This window comes from Homo sapiens, chromosome 8 (assembly GCF_000001405.40).
Source record: "Homo sapiens chromosome 8, GRCh38.p14 Primary Assembly".
In the NCBI taxonomy this organism is placed as follows: domain Eukaryota; kingdom Metazoa; phylum Chordata; class Mammalia; order Primates; family Hominidae; genus Homo; species Homo sapiens.
Window position 1 is genome coordinate 68,437,747 of NC_000008.11, and position 18,920 is coordinate 68,456,666.

At 35.2% G+C, this 18,920-nt stretch overlaps 1 protein-coding gene across 13 annotated transcripts in view; it reads left to right on the plus strand.

Annotated features, from left to right (window-relative positions):
• Window positions 1-18,920, plus strand: part of C8orf34 (chromosome 8 open reading frame 34) — a 488,651-nt gene that overhangs the window by 107,374 nt on the left and 362,357 nt on the right. For all 13 annotated transcript variants that reach the window (NR_146186.1, NR_146187.1, XM_047421328.1 and 10 more), the window contains exons 2-3: window positions 1,753-1,900; window positions 8,583-8,714. Coding sequence is in view for 11 of the 13 variants with exons in the window: in XM_047421328.1 (XP_047277284.1) it covers window positions 1,753-1,900; window positions 8,583-8,714 (280 nt within the window). In the remaining 2 variants the exon portion in view is untranslated. The remainder of the gene's footprint in view (window positions 1-1,752; window positions 1,901-8,582; window positions 8,715-18,920) is intronic.

Below are 18,920 nucleotides of genomic sequence, written 5' to 3' on the forward strand. Positions count from 1 at the left end.
CTAATAAATATCTTGCATCATAATGTATTTATGGTAAAAATCCTTTGATCTTTTTACTTCTAACTCTGTGTTCCATCAACGCATTTTTTAAATATGCAGAAATATTTAATCCATGACTCTATGATCAACTTGGGATCTTGTTATCTGCAAAATCCATTTATCCTCTGCCCAGGTAAAGCCATGTTTTCCTACACTTAAAAATGTAAATAAATATCCCTTAGATAATCTGGACAGCAGTTTCTTATATAGCATGTCTGAGCACTATATTTTGCTGGGCTATAAAAGGTTTAATTGTTGTTTATTGGTACAATAAGGGATTCTAGTTACTAATATCTACCTGTAGTCAATAAAGCAAACATTGATTGGTTGATCGAATCATTGATTCATTCAATAGGTATTGATTCAGCACCAGCTATGAGCTAGGCAGAGTTCTAGGCCCTACAGAGAAAACTGATATCAAACTAAGAAAGTCTTTTTCCAAGTGCTACAGTAGGGGTGGGGGAGGAGAGAGATAACAAACTGGTGAGCAAATGTTAAACAAAATGATTCTAGAGAGTGCTAAATACTGTGAGGAAGATAAAATGATAAAATAATAAAGACTTCTGAAGATTGGTTAGGGTAACCTCTTGTAGAAGTATCATTGGAGACCGAAGGATGACACACCAGCCATCTGACCATGAGAGAACATCATTCAAGGCAAAGGAAACAGACCACCACCAACAAAAAAAGATGCACTGGGGAATTTCCAGTAACACTTTTGTTAGCTCTCTTAATATCTGATTTTTTGAGCACTAGAACACTGCCTCTCACAGAATCCTAGCTTAAAACAGCAATGAACAGACTAGAATTCTAGGCTAAAACCAACAAGATGAAATGTGACTGATATGAATATAAATGGTGCACATAAGTTCACAAACCCAATTACACAGCACAAAATGATATCCACGTGGCTTGACAGCTGTTCATATTAGAAAAATCTAGGGATTCTAATGGACTACATATTGGAGATTGCTCTTTGCTGTTCCTGACTGGAAAAAAAAATATGTAGATATTACCCTTGGGCAGATTTCAGCCCAACTTAAAGTATCATTAGAGCTGTCCAAAATGGAACAGCCTGCTTTGCACATAGAGAACTCACATTGCTCAACTCAAAAAAGAGCAGAAGGAAGGAAGAAGGAAGGACACGTAACAGGGATTTTTACAAAAACAGAATTCGGTATTTCTTGGAGACTACTTTAAGACAGTTTTTGGTTTCTGTAAGTCTGTGACTTATTACTTGTTCCTTTAATTCCAATAAAATTTTCTTCATTTTTGTTATTTTTAAAACATTAAGAAGAAAAAAATGATATTGATATAAGGTAGATGGTGAAGTTTAGCAAAAGTTTAGTTTATAATGATATCTCTCAAAATAGCAAACTGAAGTTTAAAATTCTTAAGCTATAATTTTAAAGGAATTTAGATTAAACTTTTAATATGTTGTTGGCTAAGTATAATACAAAATAAAAACTAAATAAATCTTGGTTTTGCCACATATTAGCTGTGTAATATAGACAATTTACTTCTCTGTTATTGTTTCCTCAGAATGAGGGCAGTAACTTGTAGCCGTCTGAAAAGATTGTTATAAGCATGGAGTTAGTTGCTGTATATAAAGCAGTTAGACCAGTACCTGACAATATTACATGCTAAGTAAGTGCTTGCTATTACTGTTGCTGTTATTATTAATTATAATTGTGTGCTCTATTCTGCCTTCAGGAATTAATGACCAAGTTAATAACTGAGACACCTGACCAGCCAATCCCATTTCTCATTGACCATCTTCAGTCTAAACAAGGGAACCGTGGACAACTTCAAAGAACTTTGTCTGGATCTGCAGCTCTATGGGCAGAAAGTGAAAAATCAGGTAAATGAAGAATGTCTATGCAGTTAATTTGGGATTCATTTAATGTCAAAATTTCAAAACTCTTTTTGATACTAATAAGATAAATCTAGATAGATAGTTACCAAAGGTTTCATGTGTTCATCTCTGACCTTACCTAGATGCTAAAATTTGTCATAAATTATTAAATTTGAATATATCGTAATGTATTATGTCTCAAAATACAAGAATCAGCATTTTGCATTTTAATACAGATAAGATTCAGATTTGCATCAAAAGATTTTATCCTGTATAAATTCAGAGTAGTTATCCTAAACTTATTTTTTAATGAATAATTTGAATTAAATGCTTATAGCTTATCTATATAGAAAGACAATAGTAGAGTTCTACAGGATTACTTTTCTTGTTGCCCAAACTGATGATTGTTCTTTATTTCTCCATGCCCCAATTTTATCCTGTGTAGTAAACCTTAGGAAGATTCACTGACTCTTTACATCAGGGAACTAGTTTTTCGAGTGTATCATAGCCTCCTCTCCCCAGTAAACACTAGTGAAAGAATTGAGTAGACTTGAACTCAATCTTTGCTCATAAAATGTGTTTACACATTGGTCTGTTAGTTTGACATTTACTTTCAAATCCAAATCCCCTCATGCCCATTGCTTGGGTAACTAACTTCTTGTCTGATTCCCGTAGAAATCCAACTGTACTCCAAATGACTTTCCTTGGATGGCATTATCACTTCTCTCCACCTCTTCATGCTTTATGGGATCCCATGAAAGGATTTTGGTCTTCTTTGGCTGTATCTCATATGAATGCCTTCTTGATACCAGGTCCCAAAGCTACACTAAAGTGTGTAGAGAGTAGGGTGTCCTCTGAAGAATGTAGACATCTATGATGTCATTTATCCACACAAAAGTTATTTGCGTCATATAGGAAGTTAGAATATGAACTTTTGGCACAAAAAGAAGAAACTCTTACTTGTCTTACTTTTTCTTGGCCTTAACTTTCTTGGGTTTAGATTCTAAGTAGAATGGGTAGGTAGGCAGGGGCTTTGGTTTGTAGGTACTAAGATGGTACCCACCACATAAACGCAGATCAGTTGAGCATCTGTGAATTTACTGTAGCTCATGTGAGTCCATATTTTATAAATCAGTATCTGGAGAGAAAGGAACATATTAAACTCTGCATTTTTTTTTTTTTGAGATGGAGTCTTGCTCTGTCACCCAGGCTGGAGTGCAGTGGCCTGATCTCTGCTCACTGCAAGCTCCGCTTCCTGGGTTCACGCCATTCTCCTGCTTCAGCCTCCCGAGTAGCTGGAACTACAGGCACCCGCCACCATACCCAGCTAGTTTTTTGTATTTTTAGTAGAGACGGGGTTTCACTGTGTTAGCCAGGATGGTCTCGATCTCCTGACCTCGTGATCCGCCCTCCTTGGCCTCCCAAAGTGCTGGGATTACAGGCATGAGCCACCATGCCCTGCCAACTCTTCATTTTAAATCGCACACATTAAGTACCTCAGTGTTTATGTGTCAGAAGTCTGTGCACGGTTTAGCTGAGTCTTCTGCCCAGTCTCACAAGGCTACAAATCAAGGTGTTGGCTGGGTTACATTCTCATCTGGAGGCTGGACTAGGAAAGAATCTGCTTCCAAGCTCATTTGGGTTGTTGGCAGAACTAATTTTCTGCAGCTATATGGCTGAGGTCCCTATTTTCTGACTGACTTTCAGCCAGGAGCTACTCTCATCTCCTAGGTGCAACCCAGAGTTCCTGCCACATGTCTCTCACATAGCAGCAGTTTACTAATTCTTCCTCCTGTTCTTTTTCCTCTTCTTATTCTCCTCCTCCTCCTCCATCTTCTTCATCTTCCTTCTTCCTTCTTTCTTCTTCTTTAAAATGGAGTTGGGGTCTAGCTCTATTGTCCAGGCTTCAGTGCAGTGGCATGATCATAGTTCACTATAACCGTGAACTCCTGAGCTCAAGTGATCCTCCTGCTTCAGCCTCCCAAAGTGCTGGGATTACAGTTGTGAATCACCACGCCCTGCTGGCAACTCACTTCTTTAAAGTCAACAAGGGCATTTCTCTCATTCCAATCTACTAAGATGGATCTTATATACTAGAATGTAATCATAACACTGACACCTCATCACCTTTGCTATATTCTACTGTTTCAAAGCAAGTTAAAAGTCCTGTCTGCATTTGAGGAGTAGGGATAATGTGGGAGGAAACACCATGGGAAAGAGATCATGTTTAAGAACTACCATGTTATTCTATCAGTTCTCTTAGTACCTATTGATGATTTTAATTTCTTGTGGCACACTTTAGTAGATAATTACAGCAGGCTATTGGATGTGAGTCTAAAGCTTTGGGGATGGGTCAAAGCAGGAGTCCCAGATGTTACCTTCAATATCATACAGATAATAATAAGAGTGAAAGAATAAAGGAAGATGTGGGTAAAATTTATAGTTAGAGTGTAGGATGGACTGGGAGAAGGCAAGTGTGAGATGACTTCAGGTGCCCTAAATTTTGTCTATTTATTATGTGGTGAGGATATTTGCCAAGACAAGTGGTTGGGGGGTCAGATAGGGAAGATTGAAGTAAGGGCACCAATTATGGAAAGTCACCAAGAGAAAGGAAAAAAGAGTTGGCAAAGGAAAATTTAAGAAAAGATTGTCACGCAGTTCTGGGGCCTAACAGAAGTCAAGGACATGAATTAATTATTATTAATTAATCATGGAAACTATGAATAAGATTGTTAATTTACTCTAGCAGTTCCCAGAAGTTCTGGGAAGGAAGAGAGAAAACAGTTTGAGGGACTTTGAGAATTGTGGTTGTGTTACTACCTCAAGGGTGGGAGAACAGTTTTGCCAAAGGAGTTGAGGGTATTTGTGAGCAAACTGCAGGTGATCAAGCTGTCTGAGAAGCAGAGAGCAAGTGGATGGAGAGGTTCAGACAGAGAAAGCCAATCAAAACTTTCAGGAGATCAATATAGTGAAAATATGAGCAATATAGAAGGATACAAGCTGTGCTGAGAGATTGTGATATTTGAGATCAAGATGTTTGATGTGGAATGATTCCATATTATGAGAAAATCCTGTGGGCAGCTTTAGTTTGCAGGTAGCAGCAATATCAGGGAAACGAAGCTCTTCAGAGTTGAGCAGGGCAAGGAAGTATGAAGCTTAATGCATGGTTTGTCTAAGAATAAAGAGGTCACTATAGTTTCTTTCAAGTTGTTGAAAGGACAAGAGACAGGAAAAGACTATGCCACTGTCTGAAGTAAGGCTGTGAGATTAATCAGAGGCAAAAAGATGGTGATAATGAGTGATAATGAAGAGAAATGAGCAGTATAGCTAAGTGACATTTCCCATAAGAGAACAGACACTTTTACTTTACTGTTGAGGCTTCTATCATAGAAGCAACACTGAACCAGGAGATCCAGCCCTGCTTCCACAGCCTGTGGTTGGTGGAACATGGGACATGGGGCAAGAGCATCCACCATCCCAGGAAGCTGCAGAGGAGGGAACGCTATTGTGGGAAGAATGGGGGCTGTGCTAAGACATGAAACGGGATATTTGAGGATGGAAGAGTGTTTATGTGGAAGGAAATGGCCCAGAGGAAGAGGAAAAATTTTAGAGGGAACGTATGGCAGGAAGGAAGAGAAAAGCATAGATGAATTTTTGGATACTAATGAAACTGAAGGGGTTATAATTGAATGATGGTAAATAATGCCAATTTAAACCCTGACTGTAATTTTGAATTCTTGATTTTGGTGAATCTTTTCTTTGTTTTTGTTTTTGAGATGGAGTCTCGCTCTGTCACCAGGCTGGAGTGCAGTGGCATGATCTCGGCTCACTGCAACCTCTGCCTCCTGGGTTCAAGCAATTCTCCTGCCTCAGCCACCCAAGTAGCTGGGACTACAGGCACACGCCAGCCACCATGCCGAGCTAACTTTTTTTTTTTTTGTATTTTTAGTAGAGATGGGGTTTCACCATGTTGGTCAGGATGGTCTCGATCTCTTGACCTCGTGATCTGCCCACCTCGGCCTCCCAAAGTGCTGGGATTACAGGCATGAGCCTCCACACCCAGCCTGGTGCATCTTTTAATTAGCCAGAAAACGTCTCAATATTCAAAGTACATGGGTATCATACTTTTCAGAAATATCTGAAGATATCCTCTTGTTGCCTTTAAATATATTTAGCAACATGGGACACAACATTTTCTCCTTAAAAGTCTATCATTTAATATTGTGGAGGAGAATCTTGAAAACAGCCTTATTTTTATTCCTTTGTGGGAATAAAAGACAAATTATTTTTCTTGAATACTTATGAATTTTTTTTTACTTCTGATATTCCAAATTTTACTGGAATGTCAACTATGATTTTTCGGGAAAATCTATTATGTGTAAGTTGAGTCTTATTTACTGTTCTCTGTTTTTCTCATTTCATTTGGCATTGTGTTTGCTTTTCTTTGTTGACTCTCTTTTAGAGAGGTGTATCAAGCAAAGTGTTTTCTCTGTGTCACTGATACAATTTTCTACACTATCAGTTTTCTCTTTCTGGCTTTGAATGCAAATTTAAATATTGGTATTGCATTTTAGTTTCCTGTTGCTACTTCTTTATCTCATCTTCTTTTTATTATTTCTGTACACAGTTATATTTTTATTCATAGGTTGGTTAGCCTATCTCCTCTCTAATTTCTTTTTGCTTCATTGAGTCCACTTTCTTTTATTTTTGTTGAGAAGACAAAATAGTCACAGTCACATTCCAACATTTAATAGCTTTCCATTATAAATATTTTTTAAAACTATGATTACCTCTCCATTGTGAATACTGTATTCTTGTTTTTTATTAAATGATTCTTAAAATAATATTTTCTCTTTTTATTCAAACTTCAATGAGGAATGTTCTATCTAGTTCTAGATTTATCAACAAATAGTGTAGGTGGACTCTTCTTTGTTCTCTCTCCATATAGCTTGGAACTATTTGGATTCTTTTCAAAATTTTAGAGAGGTGAAATCATGTTTACTATTAAAATTTTCAATATTAGTTGAATCCTTTAAGTTTCTGCAAAATTGATGCATGACTTACTATCTCTTATCTCTTTTCAATGAACTGGATAAAAATATCATTGCTAAATTATTTGAATTAATATGGATTTTTTCTTGCTAGAAGCAGAGAATAAAGAAAGTCACAACATTCATTTCATTCCTCTCTGGCTCCTTTTAATATTCCTTTATATAAAGAGATGCTATATTTTATGACCAAGGTTTTTTTCTCCCATTACCTATGTTGCATTAGAAGAATTTATAGTCCAAGAATGGATATAGAAAGACAAATTCTGAAAGACTGTAAAACAACATAAGGAGATGACTCCAAGGTTGAGGTGGACACCTAGAAATCTTCCATTCTCTTTTTGAATGGCCTATATCCTGTCTTAACCTTATCTATGGAAATACTTCCTGGGTTCTAGCAGACCGTGGACAAATATTTATGTTCCTAATGCTTTAGAATTTTCATGCCTTTTTGGTATTTAATGGGATTTTGGAGGTGGACAAATTGGGTAACAGCTAGTTAAGTACAACCTTAACATGAAAGTTTGAGGAATCCATTAATGTGTAATGGTGTATGTTAGTTATTTATAAGTGAGTAGCCAGAGAAAAGACTTATGAGGCATCCATAAAGCTAGGGTGGTTTTTAAATTTGTAAATTAAGACAAGAAGGCATAAAGAAACCCTACAGAATGCCACATAGATTAGAGGAATGGAAGATGAAGAAGGAATAAATGAGTTGAAGAAAGAGTTATCAGGTGATATGGGGATGAGGAAAAAGATTGTTCTGTATAAAAACATGAAATTCTTGTAAAAGAAGTCAAGAGGGATGAACTCTTGAAACACCCTTTAATTGTGGAATGGGCAAGACAGTGACCACCTTCTAAGGGGAATTTCAAAGTAACAATGTTGGTTGATTTAAATTTATCTTTCTTGCAAGAGAAGATAAATTGATTTGGGTGAATATCAATGATTTTACTTGTCATGATAGATAAGGTGGCATCAAGTGAGTGAAATTTACTGAAATGTTTATTTTTATTTACAACAGAATACCATGCTTTATTCCATGACATTCATAGAATGTTATTTTAATTGATCGGAACCCCCGCCTGAAAAACATTTCAAATTAATTTCCTGTTTTTTCTTTTTGACAGAGTCTCTATCACTCAGGCTGGAGTGCAGTGGCACAGTCTCGGCTCACTGCAACTTCTGCCTTCCGGGTTCAAGTAATTCTCCTGTCTCAGCCTCCTGAGTAGCTGTAATTACAGACGCCCGCCATCATGCCCGGCTAATTTTTGTGTTTTTAGTGGAGACGACGGGTTTCACCATACTGGTCAGGTTGGTCTCGAACTCCTGACCTCAGGTGATCCACCTTGGCCTCCCAAAGTGCTGGGATTACAGGCATGAACCACTGCGCCCAGCCAATTTCATAGTTTTATATGATATAATCTTAATCATATGCATATATAAACTGATTCATATCAGATTTAAAAGTCTAATTTACAGATGAAATTAAACAAGTAATACCTTTGCGTGGGTACATTATTTTTGATATGAGGTGACCTATATGTTTTGTCAAGTATATTTAATGACTTCGTGGACTTGGTTTTTGCTCAATCTTGAAATCACTTTGTTGCCATTTTATATATATTTTGTTTTAACAGAATCCAAAGGAACAAGAAGGGATTTCAGAAGCTATGATAAACCTTGGCAATTAAATGCAAAGAAGCCTAAAAAATCAAAAAGTGACCTTGCTGTGTCTAATATTTCTCCACCATCACCGGACTCCAAATCATGTAAGGAAGTCTCTTATTCAAATGCTATTCAAAGCATGTAAGTTTATGTTGTTAAGAAAATGAAGAAAAGGTATTAATTGAAGCCCAACTTTTCATCTGATATTTCTGGCCTTTAATCTTAGTGAATTTCACTTTTACTCCGCATTTACATTGATCTTCATTCATACGTATGTATTTGCTTGCTTATATTCTCAAACATGTGTAATTCACTTGGACCCTTTTGAGTATAATATTCCTTGAAGAATATAAACTGCATGGAGCGGGTCTCTTGTTTCTCATAGCCAATTGTAGCATTACATCATATTGAAAGCAGTAGCTACCTATATTTAATGAAGTATGTAAAAGCAAATTAAATCTCTTAGAATAGAAGCAAAGAAGATTTCTATTCAAAACATTTCATAAAATTTCTTAAAAAATATTTCATCTGGGATTTTCCTGAAGTCCTACTCATTAATTTGTGATGGAAGTCCCTATATTCTCTTCACTACTACTGTAATATCTTTGTTTTTATGTTACTACAAAGGAATGACTGAGGTTGGGTATTTTATAAAGAAAAAAGGTTTATTTGGCTTACGGTTCTGCAGACTGTACAAGAAGCATGACACTAGCATCTGCTTCTTGTGAGAGCCGCAGGAAGCTTCCACTCATGGCAGAAGGTGAAGGGGTGCACGCATCATATGGCGAGAGGAAGGAGAAAGAGATAGCAGAGGGAGGTGCCAGGCTCTTTTTAACAGTCAGATCTTGTAAGAACCAACAGAGTGAGAAGTCACTCCTTACCATGAGGACAGCACCAAGCCACTCATGAGGGATTGACCCCCATAACCCAAATACCTTCCACCAGGCCCCACCTCCGATATTGGTGATCAAATTTACCATGTGATTTGGAGAGGACAAATATCCAAGCTATACCACCTAAGTATCCCTTCTCTCTCAATGGCCTACTGCTTTGGTAGCTACTGGGATTCTCCAGTGCTCTGCTATCCCCACATATGTATAAACATGTCAAAAATCTCAGGAGCCTCTAGCAAATCACAGCTATTCTTGGAAGAAAAGAGAACTTGCAAGCTGTTCTTCTTATACATCAATTCCTTGTGCTTGTTACAGGGTGAGATGTTTGATTTTAGTTTCAACAGAGAAAGGAGTAGGCAGAAAATATTTATCTTTGTTTGAAAATGTTTGAAAAACCACTATGTGCTAACTGGAATCTGCATCTGGGTCATTTGTGAAAGCAACTAAATTTAACTTTGTGAGCAGCTTCATTTACATAGTGGTACTCATAAAAAGTATTGCATTAACCACACCAAGTTCTTGTGAGAATTATATGAAGTGTTAACAACTTAAAATGTTCTTCAGAAATTGTGATTGTAACCAAATTGTCCTGCTTCATCAGTTTGGTATATAGAATTAGGTCCCAACATTTTAAAAAATATACAAGTTTAAAATTTGCATGTCTTTTTTACAACAGTATAGCCAGTAATATCCAGCACAGTGCCTGTTTCAATTAATAAATGCTAAATGATAAAAATGAATAAAGGAAGAAATAAAAAATGAATAAAGTCTCAGTATCCCTTTTCATCATGGATCCCTACCTCTCTCTCTTTTTATTCTTGCTTTCTTCCAATGATAAGTTCAAAACCTTAGGAGATTAGTAAATTACAGAATCAGTTCTGAATTTGACCACTTCATCATTACAGGGAGAATGCCTAAAGGTCCACTCATTGTGCAGGTCCTGTGTTCTTTGTAGGATGCTATGTAGCCACAGGGTGCTGCTGGTGGTCTGGAGTCTGAATATATTCCTTTTTACTCAGGTAACCTACTCCCAACCTCTAGTTTCACTAGACTGTTACCAAGCTTTTTAAAGCAAAAATAATAATAAAATAGCATACTTTTTTTTAAAAAATAGCATATGTAGAATTAATATATATGACAATAAGAATACAACAGATTTAGGGTTATTCTTTGGAAATACTTGTTAAAACAAATTATTTCTGAAGTAGTAAAATATCTCTGTACGTAGATTGTGATGAGTTAAAGATGCATTTTTCATCTCTAAAGCATCACTAAGAACTAGCACAAAATGCTCAAATTAAAAATTAGTAGACACATTAGAATAGGATGTGAAAAAAGTATTCATCCTCACAAAACAAAGGCAGGAGAAAAGTAACAGGGAAACAAAGAACAGATTGGAAAAATAGAAATTGGACACCAATATTGTAAGTTGAAGTACAGACGTGCCCACAATTATAGTAAATATAAATGTACTAAACATTCCAATTAAAGCAAATATTGTCAGACTGAATAAAGAGTATAGATTTTTTAAAATATAAGAAACATACTTAAAACATGCAGATACAAACAGTTTGAAACTCCAACAAAAAGAAGCCTATATGGCTAAAGTAATATCAAACCAAATAAAAATTTAAGATAAAGGATATTACCAGAGATAAAGAGACCATATCATAATCATAAAAGGTTATTTAATTAAGAAGACATCATAATACTAAAGCGTTATGCACCCAATAACAGAAGTTTCTCAATACATGACACAAAAATTTATAGAACTAAAGGAAGATATAAACAGAATAAATTGACTGAAAAAATTTAGTAAGAATATAGACAATTTGAACAAGACTATCAACTGCATTGACTTAATTAATATTTATAAACACTATGCTCAACAAAGTTAGTCACATGGAAAAACAAACAAACAAACAAACACAACTTTGATCCTTACCTTAAATCATACCTGAAGAGAGGCAAAAACTTTTTAGAGATGTTCCAGTTACTATGGTTTATAACAAATCACGCCAAGACTTTTTTTTACATAAAATTAACATAAGATTAACCATCCTAAAATGTACAATTCAGTGGCATTCAGTACATTCACAATATTATGCTACCTAGCCCCTATCTAGTTTGAAAACATTTTCATCATCCCAAAAGGAAATCATGTACCCAGTAAGTAGTGACTCAACGTTCCCACCTCCTACCAGCCCCTGGCAACCTGCTTTTTGTCTCTATGAATGTATCTATTCTGGATACTGGCATAACTTGGAGATATTGTGGGTTCAGTTCCAGGCCACTGCAATAAAGTGAATATCACAATATCAGTCGCACAATTTTTTTTGTTTCCCAGCACATAAAAAAGTTATATTTATATTCTACTCTACTGTAGTCTAGTGTGAAACAACATTATGTATAAGAAAACAATGTACATATTTTAAATAAAATACTTTATTGCCAAAGATTCGAACAATCATCTGAGCTTTCAATGAGTCATAATCATTTTGCTGGTGAAGACCCTTGCCTTGACATTGATGGCTGTGGACAGATCAGGGTGTTGGCTACTGAAGGTTGAGGTATCTTTAGCAATTTCCTAAAATGAGACAACAATGAAGTTTGCCAATGGACTCATGGAGCCAATAGACTCTTCTTTTCATGAAAAAGTTATTCATAATATGTGATGCTATTTGGTAGCATTGTACACAGAGTAGAACTTCTTTCAGAATTGGAGTCAATCCTCTTAAACCCTGTCACTGCTTTATCAACTAAGTTGATGCAATATTTTAAGTTGATGCAGTATTTTAAGTCACTGCTTTATCAACTAAGCTGATGTAACATTTTAACAATATTCACAACATCTTCACCTAGAGTAGATTCTATTTGAAGAAACCACTTTTTTTCCACTCATCCATAAGAAGCATCTCCTCATCCATTCAATGTCTATCATGAGATTGTGGCAATTCAGTCACATCTTCAGATGCCACTTCTATTTCTAGTTCTCTTGCTATTTCCACCATATATTCAGTTACTTCCTTCACTGAAGTCTTGGACACTTCAAAGTCATCCATGAGGGTTGACATTAACTTCTTCCAAACTCCTGTTAATATAAATATTTTGATCTCCTCCCATGAATCACAAATGTTCTTAATGGCATCTAGAATGGTAAATCTTTTTAATGAAGTTTTTCAAGTTATTTGCCCCCAGATCCGTCAGAGGAATCAATATCTATGGCAGATATACCTGTATAAAATATATTTCTTAGGTAATAAGACTTGAAAGTCCAGATAACTTCTTGATTCATGGACTGCAGAATAGATATTGTGTTAACAGACACGAAAATATTAATCTCCTTGTACATTGCCATCAGCACTCTGGAGTGACTGGGTGCATTTTCAATGAGCAGTAACATTTTGAAAGGAAGCTTTTCTTCTTAGCAGTAGGTCTCAAGATCGGGCTTAAAATGATCAGTAAACCATGCTGGAAACGGATGTGCTGTCATCCAGGCTTTGTTGTTTTATCTGTAGAGCACAGACAGAGTAGATATAGCATAATTCTTAAGGTCCCCAGGATTTTTGGAATGGTGAATAAGCATTGACTTCAACTTAAAGTCACCAGCTGCATTAGCCCCTGATAAGAGAGTCAGCCTATCCTTTGAAACTTGAAGCCAGGCATTGACTTCTCTCTAGCTATGAAAGTCCTAAATGGCATCTTGTTCCAACATGAGACTGTTTTGTCTACATTGACAATCTGTTTTTTAGTGTAGCCACCTTCATCAACTATCTTAGCTAGATCTTCTCGATTGGTGTGGCTTTTCCATCAGCACTTGCTACTTCATCTTACACGTTTGTGTTATGGAGATGGCTTATTTCCTTAAACCACATGAACCAACATCTGCTAGCTTTCAAATTTTCTTCTGCAGATTCCTCAGCTTTCGTGGAATTGAGGAGAGTTAGGACCTTGCTTTGGATTAGACCTTGGCTTAATGGAATGTTGTGGCTGATTTGATCTTCTATCCAGACCACTCAGACTTTCTCCATATCAGCAATAAGCTTCTTTCACTTTCTTATCATTCGTGTGTTTACTGGAATAGCACTTATAATTTTCTTCAAGAACTTTTCATTTGCATTCGCTACTTGGCTAAATGTTCGGCACCAGAGGCCTAGCTTTCAGCCTACCATGTCTTTCAACATGCTTTCCTCACTAAGCTTAATCATTTCTATCTTTTGCAGAGACCTGCAACTCTTCCTTTCACTTGAACACTTAGAGGCCATTGTACGGTTTTAGATTGGCCTAATTTCAAAATTGTTGTGTTTCAGGGAATAGGGAAGCCCAAGGTGAAGGAGAGAGGTGAGGGAATGGCTAGTCAGTGGAGTAGAGAGAACACACACATTTATTGATTAAGTTCACCATCTTACATGGGTGTGGTTTGTGGCACCTGAAAACAATTACAATAGTAATATCAAAGATCACTGATCACTGGTCACCATCACAGATATAATAATAATGGAAAAAATTTAAAATATTGTGAGATTTACCAAAATATTACACAGAGGCACAAAACGAGCACATGCTGTTGGAAAAATTAAGCTGATAGACTTGTTCAATGCAGGGTCCCCACGAATGTTTACTTTGTAAAAAAAACAACAAAAAAATTATCTGCAAAGCATTATAAAGTGAAATACAGTAAAGCAAGGTATTCCTGTATATCATACGAGTGAAATCACAATGTATGACCTTTTGTCTCTGACTTATTTACTTAGCATGTTTTTGTGGTTTATCTACATTGTGGTGGTATGCACACTACTTCAGTCCTTTTCGTGGCTGAATAATATTCCATTGTGTGGTTAAACCACATTTTGTTTATCCATTCATCTGCTGATGGGTATTTTGTTTGCTTCTATCTTTTAGCTATCTTGAATCATATTGCTATGAGTGTTCATATACAAGCATTTTTATTACCTTTTTCATTATTTGGATAATAATTGATATTATATAATATAAATAATATAATAATTTATATTACTGTGTACTTGATTTGCTGGGTTATATGATAATTCTATGTGTAACTTCGAGGAGCTGCCAACTTTTTTTCAAAGAAGCTGCACCATTTCACATGCTTACTAGCAATATACAAGGGTTTCAATTCTTCATGTATTTACCAAATCTTGTTATTTTCCTTTCTTTCCTTTCCTTTTTTAAAAAAATTTACAGCCATCCAGTTGGATGTTAAGTGGTATCTCATTGTTGTCTTGATTTGCATTTCCCTAAAGGTTAATAGTTTTGAGCATCTTTTCAAGTGTTTCTTGGCCATTTGAATATCTTCTCTGGAAAAATGACTATTCATACACTTAGCTCATTTTTAAGGGGGTTGTTACTCTTTATTCTTGAGTTATGAGAGTTTTTTGTATTCTGGCTACTAGATCCTTATCAGAGATATGATTTATGAATATTTTTTCCACTTGGGGGGATTATGTTTTTACTTCATTAACAGTGTCATTTTATGTACATCAGTTTTTAATTTTGATGAAGCTCAATTGATCTATTTTCCTTTTTTTTTTGGCTTGTGTTTTTGGTGTCATATCTAAGAAACTCTTGCCAAATCCAAGGTCATAATGACTTATCTCTATAATTTCTTCTAAGAGTTATAGTTTATGCTCTTACATGTGGGTAGTTGTTCCATTTTGAGTTAATTTTTGCATATAGCAGATGATGGGTGTCCAACTCCATTTTTTGCCATGTGGATAATCAGTTGTCTCAGTACCAATTTTTTGAAAATACTATTCTTTCCTCATTGAATAATCTTGTCACCCCATTGAAAATCGATTAACCATGAATACGAGGGTTTATTTTTAGACTCTCAATTCCATTCCATTAAGCTATATGTTTATCCTTTTGTGAGTACCACACACACTGTTTTGATAACTGTAGTTTTGTGATAAGTTTTGAAATTGGGAAGTATGAGTCCTCTGACTTTATTTTTCTCTTTTTCTCTCTCAGGATTGTTTAGGCTACTCTGAGTGCCCTGAAGTTCTATATGAATTTTAGAGTCAGTTGTTTAAAATATTTCTGCATAAAGGCCATTTGGATTTTCTTAGGAAATGCGTTGAATCTGTGGATCACTTTGGAGAGTACTGGGAACATAACAAGGTTTCCAATTCATGAGCATGTAATGTCTTCATTTATTTAGATCCCCTTTAATTTTGTTAAACAATGTTTTGTAGTTTTTGGTGTACAAGACTGGCATGTCCTTGGTTAAATTTATTCCAGAGGATCTTATTCCTTCAGATGCTATCGTAAATGGAATTGTTTCTTATTTTCATTTTTAGATTGTCATTGCCAGGGTGTAGAAATAAAACTGATTTTTGTATTTTGATTTTATTTCCCAAAATTTTGCTGAACTAGTTTATTAGTTCTAACACTTTATTGTGAATTCTTTAGGACTCTCAAAAGATCAGATTATGCCATCTGAATATAGAGATAGTTTAACTTCTTCCTTTCCAATTTGGTTGCCTTTTATTTTTCTTTTCTTGCCTAATTGCCCCAGCTAGAAATTCCAATACAAGGTTGAACAGAAGTGATGAAAGCAGGAAGGTATCCTTTTCTCATTATTCATCTTAAGGGAAATACTTTTGGTCTTGTATCATGGGGTGTGGTGTTAGCTGTGAGTTTTTCCAAAATGCCTTTTATCATGTTGAGAAAGTTCTCTTCTATTCCTAGTTTGTTGGATATTTTTATGATGGAAGTGTGTCGCATTTTTTTCCAGTGCTTTTTCTCGATCAATTGAGATAATCATGCAGTTTTTCTTATCATTCCGTTAATATGATGTGTTACATTTTATAATTTTCTTAAGTAACCCTTGAATTCCTAGGATAAATACTTGGTCGTGATGTATAATCCTTTTAATATGCTGCTGGATTTAGTTTGTTAGTCTTTTATTGAGGATTTTACATCTACATTCATAAAAGATATTGGTCTGTAATCTTCTTTTCTGGTAATGTCTTTATCTGTGGTACTGGGCCAATGCTGGCCTCTTAGAATAAATCAGAATGTGTTCCCTGTTCTTCAGATTTTTTTGGAAGAATAGATAAAACTTGGTGTTAATTCTTCTTTAAATGCTGGGTTGAATTTACCAGGGAAGCCGCTTTATCCTGGCCTTGTCCTTGTTGGGAGATTTCTTTATTACCGAGTCAAAATCTTTACTTGTTATAAGTCTATTCTGATATTCTATTTCCTCTTGAGTCAGTATTGGTAGTTTGCATGTTTCTAGAAATTTTCTAAGTCATCCAGTTTGTTGGCATACAATTGTTTATAGTATTCTCTTACAATACTTTTTAATTTTCTTAAAGTTTGTAGTAATGTCTCACTTTTGTTTCTAATTTTAATAATTTGAGTTTTCTTTTTCAATCAATCTAGCTAAAGTTTTCTTAACTTTTTCATCTTTCTAAAGAACCAACTTTTGGTTTTGCTGATTTTCTCTATTGTTTTTCTATATTCTGTTTCATTGATCTCTGCTTTAACCTTTACTATTTTCATCCTTTTGGTAGCTTGGGTTTATTACGCTCTTCTTTTTCTACTTCCTTAAGGTGTAAAGTTAGATTATTGATTTGACATCTTTCTTCTTTATTAATGGGGACATTTACTGCTATAAATTTCTATCTGAGCACTGCTTCCACTGCATACCTTAAGGTTCGGTATGTTGTTTTCATATTTTTTTTTGTCACAAAGTATTTTCTAATTTATCTTGTGATTTCTTCTTTGTCTCATTCATTATAAATGAGAATATTGTTTAATTTTCCCATATTTGTGAATTTCCCATTTTTCTTTTTCCTTTGACTTCTAGTTTTATTCTTTTGTTGTCAGAGAAGATACTTGGTATGATTTCAATCCTTTAAAATTTTTGAGATTATTTTGTTGCCTAACATAAGATCTCTCCTAGAGAATGTTCCATGCACACTTGAGAAGAATGTGTATTCTTGTTAAGTGGAATGTTCTGTGTACATCTGTTAGGTCTTACTGGTTTACAGTGTTGTTCAAGTCCTTCATGTCTTTATTGGTCTTCCTTCTATTTGCTCCGTTATCGAAAGTGGGGATTTTAAAGTCCACTATTCTTATTATAGTGCCCTCTAACTCCTTAAATTATGTCAATATTTCCTTCCTATATTTTAAGGCTCTGCAGCTAGGTGTTTATATGTTTATAATTATTATATCTTCTTGATAGATTATCCTTTTTATCACTATATAATGCCCTTCTTTGCCTCCTATAATGATTTTTGTCCTAAAATCTATTTTGTTTGATATTAGGGCAGCCACCCAGCTCTCTTTTCATTAATATTTGCATGGAATATCTTTTGATCATTATTCCTTTATTATTCTTTCTCTTCTGTTCTTTTAGTATTACCATTATATGTCAGCACATTATACATGTAGATCAAGTAAAAAAACTATTGACTCAATCAATAACTGAATGCTATTCGATACAAATTTACATCTATTTCTTATTGTAAATATAATGAGGTTAAAACTCTTTAGGAATAGAAGGATATTTTCTTAACTAAAATATTGCCTGGAATAAATATTTATAGAATAAAACCAAAAAAATTTCTGAGTATTGTTCATATGTTTTAAAGAAAAAAGGAAAAAGACATAAATATTTTAATAGTAATTAACTTCTGTGGGTAGAAAAAAACAGTTATCAATTCATTAAAAAAAAATTTCTGTCTAGCCGGGCGTGGTGGCTCACGCCTGTAATTCCAGCACTTTGGGAGGTGGAGGCAGGTGGATCACGAGGTCAGGAGATTGAGACCATCCTGGCTAACACAGTGAAACACAGCCTCTACTAAAAATCCAAAAAAAAAAAAAAAAATTAGCAGGGCGTGGTGGTGGGTGCCTGTAGTCCCACCTACTCGGGAGGCTGAGGCAGGAGAATCACTTGAACCCAGGAGGCAGAACTTGCAGTGAGCTGAGACCGCACCACTGCACTCCAGCCTGGGTGACAGAGCGACACTCTGTCTGAAAAAAAAAAAAATTTTCTGTCTAAAATTTACTTAAAATAGCTACTATATATTAATCAGAAGAACTTTCTGAAGAAAAAAGCAACTTCTTAGCCCATTCAAAAGATTGTGAGCTTGGTAGAATGTAATATCTTCAGTGCAGAGTGTTTTGTTACCTTAATCCCCATTTATATAGAACAGTGACAAACACATAATTTATGCTATGTGAATGAGTGCATAAAAGGTTGAATGAATAAATGAATAAATGAGGATAATGTAAAGATGGATTTTTACTAAAATGTATTCTAGCCCTTATGTAATATTAATTTAGAAATTGTGCATTTTCAAATGCACTCATACAAACCAAAAAATAGCACTTATACAATTCAAACTGGCATAGGGACAAAGATCTGCAAGGTAACATTATATTATC